Raw genomic sequence first — 14,777 nt, 5'->3', positions numbered from 1 at the left:
TTCCTATCTACTCTCCTATCTACCTACCTATTTACCAGTCTATTATCTACCTATCTACCTACCTATTATCTATTTATTTATCTATCTAATCTAGCTATCATCTATCTTCCATAAACTTACTCAGAAACTAGCACTTACAGCTGCTCAAGATAAATGTCTTTTTCTTGTCCTGCCCTCAATTTGTATAGCCTATGGCTGGGTGAGTTTCCCTTTGCCCCATGCACCATGACTGCCCTGTGGACAAGGAAGTGTCTGGTCCACCCACATCTCTCAGACAAGTTCAGTGAATATGGTGTACCCAAATTGTTGGTTGGGTTGCAGCAAATTCTAGGGGGCAAAGGGATATCTTCTGTGACCTGCTAGCTCTGTGTCCATTCCAGACAGAAACAAGAGGGACACCATGGTGGAGGACTTGGTGGTCCTGGTACGAGGAGGGGCAAGTGAGCACATCACCACCCTGGCATACCAGGAGCTGCCGACGGCGGACCTGATGCAGGAGTGGGGAGACGCTGTGCAGTACAACCCAGCCATCATCAAAGTTAAGGTACACAACGCTGCTCTACCCATCCTTTCCTCCACCCAGAAAATAGCTTCTGAGGACCTACCATGAGCCAAGGTATAAAATGCAGAGATCACTAAGACCCAGGCCCTAATTTTGGGACACATATACGATAGTAGAAAATATATTTGAAATAAATAAATTATAACACACTGCTCAGTACTACCTAGAGACCCTTGACTCCCTCTCACTTGGGCCCCAAGTTGCTAAAGGAAACTAACAATCAGCTTCTAATTCTAGCTTACTCCTTCTTCTTCTTTTCTAGAGACAGGGTCTTGCTCTGTTACCCAGGTTAGGGTTCAGTGGCATGATCTTGGCTGATTGCAGCCTCCAACTCCTGGGCTCAAGTGATCCTCCTGCCTCAACCTCCTAAGTAGCCAGGGTTATAGGTGCATGACACCACACCTGGCTAATTAAATTTTTTTTTTTTTTTTAGAAATGGGGTCTTGCTATGTTGCCCAGGTTGGTCTTGAACTGACCTCAAGTGATCCTCCCACTTTTGCCTCCCAAAGTGCTGGGATTATAGGTGTGAGCCACTGTGCCTGGCCTCTAGCCTCTCTAGTGAAATAAAAGAAATATTAATTTATTTAAAATTTAATCAATTAAATTTAATCAATTAAATTAATATTCCTTTTATTTCATTAGAGAATCACTCATTTAGTTATTTATTCATTTAAACATTATGCATTCAACCAACAAATAGTTGCTAAATTCCTGCTATGCTACAGGAAGTAAGGTACTAAGGGAAGATAGAGGAAAATGCAAGGATAAAACATACAGTCTACGAGGAACAGTAAGATACACACACACACACACACGTAACTATCTTACAGGACAAGACATCACAACAACTAACATGTCTTGAGCACCTAATATATTCACGACCCTCTTTAGAAATATTTCTTCATCTAACATCTAGAAATGTTATTTTATGTAATCCCCACACTGGTCTGCAAAGTAATTATTCTTATCTCCATATTGTGGTTGACAGAAATCAAGGGCTAGAGAAGTTGTATCCATCTTTGGCTGCTCAAGAGTCTATTCGGTTCAAACAAAAGACTTTGACTTCTTCCCTCCCCTCTAGACTTTCCTGTGGGTTTGATGAATAAAACATAATGATCCTAACCACTTGTCACCCAAACTAGAGGAGTTTTACAATGTTAAACTAAAAAGATGTTTGTTAGACCAGGACTGTCATACACGTCAGCAATGGTAGGTCCTTGCCTGTGGGGACTTCTGCACAGGGCCCATAGCACGTCTTAACACCATGCTCTTCTTGCTAATGTCTGTACAGTCATTATGGGCCAGTACCTACTCACTGGAGATCCCACCTTGCAGTCAAGGTGGAGGGTTGAGGGACTGGTGCTCTGATGAGAGACTCTGCAGTCCCCAGCCTGGTGATTTCTTTATTTGCATGACAAATACACAGTTTCTGCAGAACAAGAAGGCTGCCATTCAAAACCTCTCCTTTGCACTTACTCAACAGTGGCACTTAGGGTACAGTTGCTGGCAAACATGAAAAGGATAAAATCAGCTGAGCTGCAGGGGCTCCTGAGAAATCTGGGCTTGGCCGATGCCATGGTGACATTGGTTGGCATCACAGCTGGTCATGGGAGAGAACAGAGTTCAAGGGAAAATAGATCCCTAGCCTTTATCTCTTTTTCCTGAGATATCTTACCTGAATCTTTTTTAAAAAACTGAGAACCAAATGAATTCCCTGGTCACTCAGATCAGTTGAATGTGCCTACCTGGGCACTGAGAATGTCAGATGCCAAGCATGTGATGTGATGTGGGATGTGTCAGAGAATCAGAGATGTTTTGGGAGTGTTGCAGGAGTAGAGGAGGCAAGAGTGTTGACGGCTTTCACACACATCTGTACCTTCCCACCCTGAGTTGGAAATATACACTCTGGGCATCCCACTCTCACATGCATTTTTTTTTTCTGGCAAGAGGGAACTGCAGATGGCTTCACATTATGTCAGAATAATTCTTCTCCGCAAAGCCAACTTACCAGGTAGCTGGAGTGGCAGTTGATTTCAAGACAGCAGAGCCCAGTAGACAAGCAATTTCTAGATGCAATAGTTTCAACCAAGGCTTAATTATGTAAACCAGTCTTCAAGATCAAGTCCTAAAACATGATTTCTATAGAAGCAGGTAGGCAGGGAAGGAGACCACAGAGGAACCCATTCTTAATGTTTAGCGGTAAACTTTAGACATAGGTAGCTCTTTGTTCAAAGAAGACTTAAGAGACAGCAATGAACATATAAAGAGATCTTGAACACAAAAGATTGAAATTATGTTCATGCTATAGGAAATAACGATGTCTAAAAAAACAGAAAAATAGAAGAAGATTTTAGAATACATTTTCTGTGATTATCATACAATTCAAGGAAATGAAGAATTTATGAAATAAAAGCTGAGGTGTTTAGACACTAATCAGATGAAAAGGCAAGTGGCTGAATACAGGAAGCCAAACATACAATAACAGAATTAAAGCCCACATTGGAAGCTATAAACGACAGAATTGACATTGCAGAAAATTGAGACAGTGATGTGGAAGGTGTTATAAACATGTTCTTAAAATGCAGACGCAAGAGACAGGGAGATTAAAACAATGGCAGAAAAGAAATACGATAGACAGAGAGTACAGGAGTAGAAAGCTTAAAACAGAGACCTCTTCCTAAGAAAGAGACAAAATTAAATGTGAAAACACATTAATCAAAAATATAAGAAGACAATCTTCCCTGAGCTGATAATGCAGAATGAACAGCTCATTGAAAACTAAGCCAAAGTACTGAAAACAAAACAAAGCTGAAACACATCCTGGTGAAAATGTTTACTTTTAGGAACAAATATATCCTACAGGAATAAAAGTCAAACTGGCCCTAGAATTCTTTGCAGTGTGAAATGCTTGAAGAAAATGGAGCAACAACTGAGGAGTCTTGAAGGAAAAACTTGTGACCTAGTGAAATGGTCATTAATGGGTGAAGAATTCCAAAGAGATTTTAGATAGTAAAGAAGTCACATAAAAAGTTGCTAGATTTTGCAAATGAAAACACAGGAAGTTCAATTAAATTTGAATTTCAGGTAAATAAGGAATAATTTTTTAGTGTAAGTATCTCCGAAATATTGCATGGGATATACTTAAACTAAAAAAAATTATTTGTTTTTTAATCTCATATTAAAATATAACTGAATGGCCTGTCTTTAACTGGTAATCCTAGTCACAAAGTCTGTCATCCATGTACATTTCTATGCTAGTCAGGATAGCTAGGTTGTTGGCTGGGTCCTATGCTGGTAGAGAAGCCATTGTATGAATTATTGGCATTGCCCAGGGCAGAAGGGAAAAAATACAGTAATGAATGGTGCCCACACAGAGATCAGGATAGCATAGGTCATGATGCAGAGAAACAACCTCCACATTTCAGTAGCTTGATACCACAAAAGCTTATTTCTCAATCACATATGTCCAAAGTGTGTTGGCAAGGGGGATTTGCTCAATGTAGTTGCTCACAGATCCAGCTGATGGGGGCTGCGTCTTGTCGTGTGCTCCCAAGATCACCACAGCAGTGATAATAAAAGAGTGGGACAAGTCACCTCACTCTGTTTGGAAAGCCTCAACCTTGAAGTGACACTCTCTTCTCACCTGTCACTGGTCAAAACAAGTCACATTGCAAACCTGCCTTCAAAGAGAGCAAGAATGTCAGCCTTACCATGTGCCCAGAAGGAAAAGAAGCTGAAATATTTAATAAACTGTAATAATGACCCTCATACCTTTCTCAAAGCAAGGTATCAAAGATTTTCTCAAAGCAAATTACTCTGGTCCAGGGAGTGCTTAAAATATAAATGCTGTGGCAGCATATGCCTGGAAAGACAATGTTGGATTTGGATTGACAAAGCTCACCTGCAAAAATAAATTCTGAATTTCAAAAAGGAAAACCCAGCAGGTGTGGTGGCTCACACCTGTAATCCCAGCACTGTGAGAGGCCAAGGTGGGTGGATGACATGAGGTCAGGAGTTCAAGACCAACCTGGCCAACATGGTGAAAACCATCTCTACTAAAAATAGAAAAATTGGCTGGGTGTGGTGGCATGCGCCTGTAATCCAGCTACTCGGGAGGCTGAGGCAGGAGAATCGCTTGAACCCAGGAGGTGGAGGTTGCAGTGAGCTGAGATCATGCCATTGCACTCCAGCCTGGGTGACAGAGCAAGACTCTGTCTCAAAAAAAAAAAGAAAAGAAAAAAGGAAAAGAAAAAACCAAGAAAACCCATGAATATAACTAAATGGCTGATAACACACCAAAAAAAAAAAAAAAAAAATTTACCACAAATGAGATCCTTAATATGTAAGGAATGATAGTTTTGAAGAAAGAAACATCTCAAAGGAGATGAACACTTCTCAGTTGGTTTATAAAGATGCAAAATGTTTAACTTCTGTAGTCATGAAAAATAAAAATTAAAGTAACTGCAATATTATATTCTACCTATTAAAGGGACAGTGATTGAAAGTCTACAATACTCAATGACATTGACTGTGATGAGATGGATATTTTTGTCAAATAGAATGGGAATATAATTTGATACAATTATTTAGGAACAGAATTTAAGCAGATATATTCAGAACATTAAAAATGCTTATAGCTTTTCATCCAACAACACCCAATGCAAGAATGTACTAAAGAAATAATTTGACAAGTTGGTAAAGATGTATGTGTAAAGGCATGTCTTAGTTTGTTATTTGAAGTAGCAAAAGGGAAAAGAAAGAAAGGAAATGTCCTAAAGGCTCAAGAACAGAAGAAGAGTTGAATACATTGTGGCTCATCCATATAGAAGGATACTCTGAAGATGTAAGAAGCCATTTTATCAAAGACGATGGAATCATGTGGAAAAATGCTCATATTCTGATGTTAAGTGAAGAAAGTGAGATATAAAATTACACTTATGCCACCAATTTGGTGTAAATTGCTACCTATTCATCCCTTGGATAGGTCCATCTACCTGCCCAAAAATATACACTGAAAGGAAACAGACCACAGGGTTAACAGGTCACACCCTTTTTCCACCACTCACTAGCTATGTGACTTTCGTCAATCTACTTAATGTCTCTGTGCCTCAGCTTTTTCACCTGTACAAGAAGGAAACAAAAGACTAACGAACTCATAAGATTGTTGCAAAGATTAAGTTAGATAATGTATATAAAGTGTTTAATTCAGCACCTAATAAATGCTAGCTATGGAAATAATTATTTGTTATCACTAAGAACACCAAGGTTTAGTATGGAAACTTGTGTAGAGTTTAGTCGGTGCTCACCATTTCTTTGCAGCAATATGATAAAAGAAAATTTTCAGAAGGGCAGGTGTGCTGAGGATCCAATGATCAATGTCAGTGGTTAGAACTGTGTATTTGGGGGAGAAGTGGGAAAGAAAGAGAAAGAGAAAAGGAGGACAAAAGTTAAGGAGGGAGGAGCAAAAGGAGAGAACAAAAAAGACAGGAAAAAAATGAGCAGCAAATCAAAGAACAGACGAATGTGCTATATTAAGTTTAAAAAGGAAATTTGGAGCCTTGAGGAGTTGCTGTTAAGCTGCAAGTCAAACCATAGCTGGCAAAATTTGGAGAAGCCTAGGAGGGAGACTGTAAATGGGAATAATCAAGCCATTTTTATCAATAATCATGGTGAACTAGGAGGAAAAACAGGTTTTGGAATAGAATTCTGGTAATACCATATATGAATTGCGTGATCTTGATCAAATTACTTAGCCTGACCTGAAAATGGGGCTGATAATTGCTAGTTTGTGAGGATGAAGTAGGATCATATTTGTAGACCTCCACACAGCTCCCAGGACACAGTATATATGGAAGGTTTATTCCAGTTTGTCCTCTGATTTCCTCTGCCTCCTGCAGCAAACCCCAGTGCTGGTAGGAAAATGCCTTTTTGGTTAATGGCAGCCTTTCAAGGTGCTTTGGGAGCAAAATCAGATGTTGGAGGAGCTCTTCATTGGTGTAAAGCAAGCTCCCCTCTTTCTCTCTCCAAACTCCCACCCCCACCCCTTGTGTGGCCAGCAGGTTGGATGGTTCTGCAAACAGCCTCTGGATCAATTCATTGACCACAAAATGGTGAGACAATGGGACCACCAAGGGGCCTTGCTTTGCCCACTGGAGCAAAGGTCAGCATCAGATGCATTAAGAAATGGAAGCAATTTTCTTCCCAAGGGAGGCTTCTATTAGTCATGATTGCCTGCATTTAGACGTACCCTAAACTCTCCAGGGCAGGATTAGGGCAGAATCACAAGCAAAAGCTGGAGAGGAACCTGGCCCTGGAGTTGCAACTTGAACCAAGAGGAATAGAACATTTTTAACTATCTATTTGGACTGTCTGTGCCTCTGGTTTTTCTAACCCACAAATAATGCCACATCTATCTGTGACTTCTCCGTCTCAAACATGGCCATGCCCACTGAGTGAGCAGCATCTGCTGATTCTTCCTCTATGCTTCTGACAGCCAAACCCTCTCATCCATGCCCCCTGCCATCACCTTAATGAGGCCTTCCATCCCCCTACATCCATCCAGCCACTATATTCACTTAGCTGGGGGCTGGACCCTCGAAACACAGAGCTGAGACATTGCCCTGATCTCTGGGAGCTTACAATCTAATCAGAAAAGAAAAAAAAAAAGGACCCTGCACATAAAAAAAAAAAGACAGTATTGACTATAAAGGAGCAATAAAAAACATGGGATTTGTTTCAGATGAGTAGTGCAGACAGTATCTTGAGTGATTAATGGAGGGAAGTTGTTCTGTGAGCTTTGCAGCTCTGGAAGGTTCCTGATAGTGACTCTTGCAGGATGGGAATGATTTTGATAGGTTTGGAGGGCTTAGTGATGTTGGGACAGTACCCCTATAATCCTTCCAAAGAGCTGCTGGAAAATCACCTTCTCTGCCCCACCAAAGATAGATGAAGCATCCACTCCTTTCTGCTCTCACCTGCTTCTTTCTACAAGTTTCTGCTGGTGCCTGTATCCACCATGTGGTAACCATCTGTTGGTATGTTTGTCTGTCTCTCTCGATTCTGAGTTCCTTGAGAGTAGGGATTTTATCTTACTCATTTTTTATGCTTAATACCTAGCACTTAGTTAAGCATTCTAAGTGTTTGTTGACCTGAACTTGAGTGAGCTAATTTGTGTATATCGGGTAAGGGGAAGCAGAGAGAAGATGGGAGATCCATCTAGTTTCATAGGAACCCACATGTGGTCTCTATACACTGATCCCAGTCCATTCCTTTGTAGTTTTGTTTTACACTTCTACTTGATAAATGTTTTTCTCTTGAAATAAATGCCCTTTTCCCTTTCCAGGTGGAGCCTCTGTATGAACTAGTGACAGCCACAGATTTTGCCTATTCCAGCACAGTGAGGCAGAACATGAAGCAGGCACTGGAGGAGTTCCAGAAGGAAGTTAGTTCCTGCCACTGTGCTCCCTGCCAAGGAAATGGAGTCCCTGTCCTGAAAGGTACCACTTTCAGGCAGCTGGTGTCCCTGGTGGAAGCCATAATCTGAAGCAGGCCGGGGGCCAGCCATTTGCCTGCTTCTGTTTACTGAGAAGTCAGAATTTAGTCCACTGGGAGATACTACTCTGGCTGTCAGTATACCTGGGTTCTAGCCCCAAGGGTTACCGTGGGTGACAGCATCATTAAGCTGAAGACAGTAGCAGGCTGAGATCCTGTGGTCCACAGCAAGGAGTGGGAATAAACTCAGAGAATCTCTACCCAAAGGGGGCCTGGGCTGAGTAGGAGAAGCCCTTTGTGCATGTCCTGACTAATACATAATAAGAAGATTTGGGGGTAGCAGCAAGGATGGGCCACTAGAACTTGATTGTTAAACTCAAGAGTCATGTTGGGGTCACTGCAGTGAGCAGGGCAGACTGGGAGGGGTGAGAGCCTGGGATCTTATGCTCCTGTTGTGATAGCCTAGCAAGACTCTAAAAAAGAGGCCAGCCCAGCACACAAAACAGGGCATCAGGAGCAACTGGTTACAGCAAGTCTCAGCCCAGGGAACCAGCAGGAGTCAAGGCAGAGCCCACGTGGATGAAGTTAGCTCAACGGAAGGGATATAGAAGAAGGTGTATTCTCAGGCAGAAAGGGTCCAGTTGCCAGACTGGGATTGAGGAATATGTCTCTGGCTCCTTGGAGAGGATAGACATGAGCAGAGAAGACATAAGTGAGAGCATACAGCCTAGAAGTTCTGCTATCAGCACAAGGACCCCTATGTGAGGGTTAGTTCTGCAGCAAGTGGGGTCAGCTCATCAACTCAAGATTTTAATCTAGGGTTGCTGAACTCTCCCTTGCCTTGTACGAAATTTGGACCTAGAAACTTGGACCCACCTGAGGCTATAGAGTGAAGGTGAGGGAGAATATGGAGCCAGAGACTGGGATGCTTGCAGGGCCTGACCTATGATGGACACCCTGTAAGGAGATTTCTTGTGATTCATATGAGAAGTTGCTTGACAGATTACAAATTCACATAGGGCATCACTTCCAAGGAGTCAGAACTGGCCAAAAGTCAGATGAGACATCTAAGAGTAATGAGTTCCCCATCCTCGAGGTATTCAAGTCTAAGCTAGGCAATTATTTGGTGTGAAATTGAACATCAATGACAACTGGCCTCAGTGACTGCTAATGTAGCTTCTGACACTGAAAGCATTTAAGTATGGGTCAAATGTCAGCTCATGAGTAATTGTCTTCAACAACTCTATGTATTCCTAGGGATGACAATAAACACCCCTTCGTGGCAAAGGCCCTCAGGAAAGGAGTAGGTATTCCTGGCCCTGAACCTGCCTATAGCAAGCCATTTAACTAAATATGTGCTCTGTTTTAACCTGATGGAACTGCAGTGATTGGAGGGCTGAGCTCCAGGAGTTCTTTGCTCCACCTGGCATGATTCACACTTTCTCTGCCTTGTCTTCTCAGGATCACGCTGTGACTGCATCTGTCCTGTTGGATCCCAAGGCCTAGCCTGTGAGGTCTCCTATCGGAAGAGTAAGTTAATTGGAAAAGGAACTCTGGGGAGGTCCAGAGAATAATTCACCAGAAGAAGAGCAAGGAGCTGGTGTGGAGTGTGGGGCTGGATACTAGGAAACCTGAGATCCATCCTGCTTAAACTCAGCTTGGATTGAAATTCCATCTCCATCATTTAATAACTGATGGATTGATTGTTATGCATTTCATTATTTTTACAACACAGAGTGCTTCATGTTAGAGAAATATCAATGCGTGGCTTTTGTAAGCCATCTCTTTGGATCATTCTGGAATGCTTACCCTCTTTTCCTGCTTAGTATACTGCTATTCAGCCCTCAAATTCCAGCACGTATGCCCCCTCCTCCATAAAAAATTCCTCTAATCCCCAAAGAATGAGCTAATTCCTCCTGCTGGCTCCCCCGGGACTTTGAACATGTATCTATTATAGCTCTTTGTGCATTGTATTTTGGGTTGATGTATCTATCTAACTCCCCTGCATCTGTGAGTAGGGACCATGTCCCATTTACCTCTGTGTCTCAGTAGCCAGGCACAGCTGTTGCTCAGTGATAATAGTTGAATTAACAAATGAAAGACTTGGCTATCATTAAGATCCCTTCCAGATCTCAAATTCTTTGGCCAGTTTAACACATAAGAGCTCTCAATCTTTCACTCCTCTCTCACTTTTATTCCTTTCAGCGACTTTTTGGTGATACTGTTCAATATGGAAATGGCACATGTAAAACAAACAACGAACATTTACTGGACACTTTACTATATAATAGACACTTTGCTGAGTGCTTAAACTCAGCTTGGATTGAAATTCCATCTCCATCATTTAATAACTGACCTGGAGCAAGATACTTGACCTCTTTATGCCTCAGTTTCTGTGCCTGTAAGATGAATATGATCATATTAACAACCTCATAGAGTTGTCTTGACTTTGTAAGGAGGCATATAAAGCGTTTGGAATGATACCTTACACATTGTAAAAGCAAGATAAACATTGGTTACTTTTTAAAGAGCACATTGTTACTTTGTATCTTATATATATTAAATTCTTTAATCCTCACAACAACCCCATGAAGTAGATATTATTGATATTCCCATTTTATAGATGAAGAAACTGAGGTTCAATGGGTCACTAACTAACATACCCAATAGTCACACAATTAGGAAGTGTGGAAACCCAGGTTCAGGTCCAGGGGTCTGCCCCCACAGCCTTTGATCGTAACTCCTGCCTGCACTCTTATGTTCCCAGTAAAACACTCAAGGTTGTCCACCCTCTCATCTTGCACCTCAACCATGCCCCTAGCAGTCATCTTCCCAGTGAGTCTGCAGTCACACAACCACAGGGTTCCTATTGGTTGGAGGAGCCCTTGGGAACCATGCACTCCAGCTCTCTTATTTTTCAAATGGAGAGGCCCAGTTATTAAGTAATTTACCCAGAATTACACTGTGAGGTAGTGGCAAAGCTGGACACATGATAAATTGTGATGGAAGTGATTGATGACTTGCCAATCTCACCAACAATCAAAAATCCTCAAGTGAAAGCCAAGTGTCAGGGTGTGGAAAGCACTGGTGTCTGTTGTCACTTCATCTACAACATCCATTGCTCACAGTAGATAACACAGCTCCCATTATATAGTTTGAGAAGAAGATAACTATCCAGCATCCTATAGGTGGGAACTGTCTAAGCTGGAAAACATTCATTCATTTATTTATTCATCCATTCATCCATTTAACACATGTTTAGCAAGGGCCTCCTGTTTGCCTGCCTAGCTGCTAGGTGAACAAATAAGATACAGCCCCAGTCACAATAGAGATTTTGCTTTGGAAAGGAAGGCCAATATCATTTGAATTGTCCCATAAAGTTCTTTAAAGTTTAAATTGTAACAACTGCTACAAAATGCTCAGAGAACTTAAAATATGAGGAATTGATGGAGAGTTAGGAGTCACAGGGAATTGATGGGGACTGGGGGAGTCAGAGAAGATTTTCCTGAGGAAATAACACTTTTACTGAGATCCGAGGGGTGAATTGGATTGACCAGGTGAGTAGAGGAGGGAAGAGTGTTCTGGGCACAGGGGGGAAAGCATATGCAAAGGCCCTGTGGTAGGCAAGAGCATGACAAGTACAATGGCCAGGAAAATGGCAGCAGGGAGCTCAGAGATTCAGACTCCCAAAGCCTTTTGGCTTACATAGCTCACCCAACCCCAGTAAGGCACCAGAATATAAGAAGTGCTGATTGATGCTTATTGACCTTCTTTCTTATAGATACCCCCATTGATGGGAAGTGGAATTGCTGGTCAAATTGGTCTTCATGCTCTGGAAGACGTAAGACAAGACAAAGGCAGTGTAACAATCCACCTCCTCAAAATGGGGGTAGCCCCTGTTCAGGCCCTGCTTCAGAAACACTTGACTGCTCCTAGCAGATGATACAGCAGTGGGCTACATACAATGAGAGCCCTGAGCCCTCAAGAACTCATGCCAGCTCAGCCCTACACCAGTTTCCACCTGGAGTTCATGCAAGGGCAAAAGGCAGTGCCATGCAAGCTGTTTAAAATAAAGATGTTACCTTGTAAAATGCAAGTTGATTTAAATAAATACTGAGTTAAAGGCTTAAGCATCTTTGTAATCCTCACCTTACTCACTCTACAATTTTATTTCACTCATATTGACTACCAGCCAGGAATTGTGTTGGAAGTTGTTCACATTTCAGTTCCACTCTCTAGCCCTCTAGCCGTGACTGGTTAGAAAGCGGCAGACCTGGGCTATAAAGTCAGGCTCTAGAGTTTTAAATTCTTAACTATGATGCTGTCTTACCTCTCAGTAAATGAGTATCTGATTAACAAAGAATTTTTCATGAAATAAAATGCAGCAGAAATTACTGTGTGTGTGTGCATGTGTGTGTGTGTGTGTGTGTGTGTGTGTGTGTGTGATTGACAAATCTCCAGCCACTCCCTTCTGAGGAGAGAGGATCCTGATTCCCCAGCTCACTTTGATGCTGAGCATAGGAAGGGTGTGGTTGTGCATGTTGGAAGCAGGAGTTCTGGGGCAGAGTGGAATTGTTGTGCTTAATAAAGGAGTGGCAAGGTGGGTTCCCAGGGAAGATCCTGAGCTGGAGAAAAGAGCCAGGGAAACTGATCCCTGAAGAAGAGAAAGTTGAAAAAGAAGAGAAGATCATGGTGGCTGGAAGAGGAAACACGTGAAAGAGAATTTTAAGTTGATGGCTGTGGGGTAATGTGCAAGGTAAACTGTTCCCTACCTCCCCCATGAAACTGTACATTCTACTTTGCTCACTTATGCTCTTGTGCAAATACCATTTTGAGGGGAGGGCAGAAGTCTTGAAGAAGAGAATAAGAAGACAATTTTTCTCTGGGCTACCAGAAGTAAAATTTTAATTTTCTAGATTGTCAAGTGAGCATTTAAGCTTTATTTCTCTCATTCATTCAATCGTATTAAAACATCCTGTAAGATTTTCTTTGCTCTTGGGCCCCTCCTGTCTGATTTAAGTACTTCAGGTGAATTTCTTGAAATAAAGTTGGTGGGGTAAAAAAGCAGTTGGTTAAAGGTGAATTGGTTCATCCTGTTGATTCAACCCATTGATTTTCAGCCAAATCATCTGCTTGGAGTTTACCACTGGGTTTGACGCTGGGGCCTGAGACCTTAACATGACACCAAGCTTTGGTTACTGGCACACAGCAATCTCACCCAACCAGCTATCTGGAATTGGGTCCATAGAACAGCCATCAGAAGGAGCTGCTATTGTACTTCTAGGGGTTCTTCCAGCAAGTATGGTGATCCTGCCTGCCTTCCCGCATCCCCATGGCCCCTGCAATTCAGCTGATGGGTCTGGGCCCTTGTTTGGTTTATTATTATTGCTTTGCCGTCTGCTGTTATTTCAACAGGATAATCCAATAATGTTTTATCTCTTTCATTATACTGAAGCCGTATAATTTTCTTGAGTTATAATCTATCTCTTTTAAGATTCCCCTGAGACAGGGAAGAGCGATTCTGTCTTTGGTTGATGGGAGGCTCCCATGAAGTTGACACTAGCATGTTGAAGCGAGCGCTGCCAAATTAAATTCTGAATCTCAATCACAGCCACTGTTTCTAATGGGAAATTTGAGTTGATTATGGAGATGACAGCCCAGGTTCACATTTATTGCATTTAGCAGAAATTGTTTATCCTATTAAATACGGTCTTGAAGGAGAGACAATTGAATTTTGGAGCACCGGTGAATACCCGGGTGACGCCCAGGCATCGCTAAACTGTGTAATAATTATATTCTTATTTGTGGGCTGAACTTCCCCACGTGGCTCTTTCTGCAAACAAATGCATTTTGGAGGAGGCTGAAACACAATGTAAGAATTAAACAAAATAAATGCAAACCGTGCTTTTGGAAAATCTTGGCAACTGTGGCTTTCACTGGTGTACCAGTGAAGGAGCTGCAGTATTCGAGGGGCAGAGTCCAGGCAGGACAGTTTGGCTGTGGTCCTGGAAGCTTGAACACAGCACAAGATGCCTGGATGTGGGAGATTTTTGCATCCCAGAGCATAAATCTTTAAAATGCTTTTAGCTTCATGTGCTTAATGTCCAGGTGGGAGGCTTTCCATGTGACCTTGGACTAATAACATAATTTCTATGGGAATAATAATTATTATAATTAGTTTAACAATAGTAATAATAATAATAGCTGCCAATTATAGAGTGCTTCCCAGTTTATGAAGTCTTTTAACCTACATTATCTTATTTAATCTTCATCTGAATTTCATAGGGTAGATATTAATACAATCATTGGATGACAGGTAGAGAAAGTTTCAAATGGAAACTCAATCCTTATGACTAATGAGTCAACTATAGAAGTCAGGATGGGATACAGAGGTCAGGAGAAAGAGCACTTGCTGGCAGAGAATCCAGATAGAAGGAAAAGTCATCTCTGTCTTAAAGAAGAGGACTCTGGCCTGCTCCCAGGTACTTATAAAAAAAAGTCCTCAGGAGAAAGTGGGCCTGGCACAGAATGCCCTTGGGGACATCAGCCTGGCATCCCTCAGGACCTTCATGATCTGCACCTTGGTGGAAAAACATACTGGCCATAGGATCTTGCACGCAGCAGCCCCACCACTCACCCTCCTGTTGAAGCCAGTTCCTCATTCATCCTCCAGGTCTCAGCTGTCTCTTCTTTCCTACAGCCTTCCTTGCTTCCATTACGTTAA

At 42.0% G+C, this 14,777-nt stretch overlaps 1 protein-coding gene across 3 annotated transcripts in view; it reads left to right on the top strand.

Annotated features, from left to right (window-relative positions):
* The window catches only part of C8B (complement C8 beta chain), a 36,809-nt gene extending 24,623 nt beyond the window's left edge, over window positions 1–12,186 (top strand). For all 3 annotated transcript variants that reach the window (NM_000066.4, NM_001278544.2, NM_001278543.2), the window contains 4 exons: window positions 381–544; window positions 7,905–8,058; window positions 9,515–9,583; window positions 11,835–12,186. In NM_000066.4, the coding sequence (NP_000057.3) occupies window positions 381–544; window positions 7,905–8,058; window positions 9,515–9,583; window positions 11,835–11,989 (542 nt within the window). In that variant the 3' untranslated portion in view covers window positions 11,990–12,186. The remainder of the gene's footprint in view (window positions 1–380; window positions 545–7,904; window positions 8,059–9,514; window positions 9,584–11,834) is intronic.

Source organism: Homo sapiens, chromosome 1 (assembly GCF_000001405.40).
Source record: "Homo sapiens chromosome 1, GRCh38.p14 Primary Assembly".
In the NCBI taxonomy this organism is placed as follows: domain Eukaryota; kingdom Metazoa; phylum Chordata; class Mammalia; order Primates; family Hominidae; genus Homo; species Homo sapiens.
The sequence above is the reverse complement of the archived record's forward strand: the minus strand, read 5'-3'. Positions and strand labels throughout refer to the sequence as shown.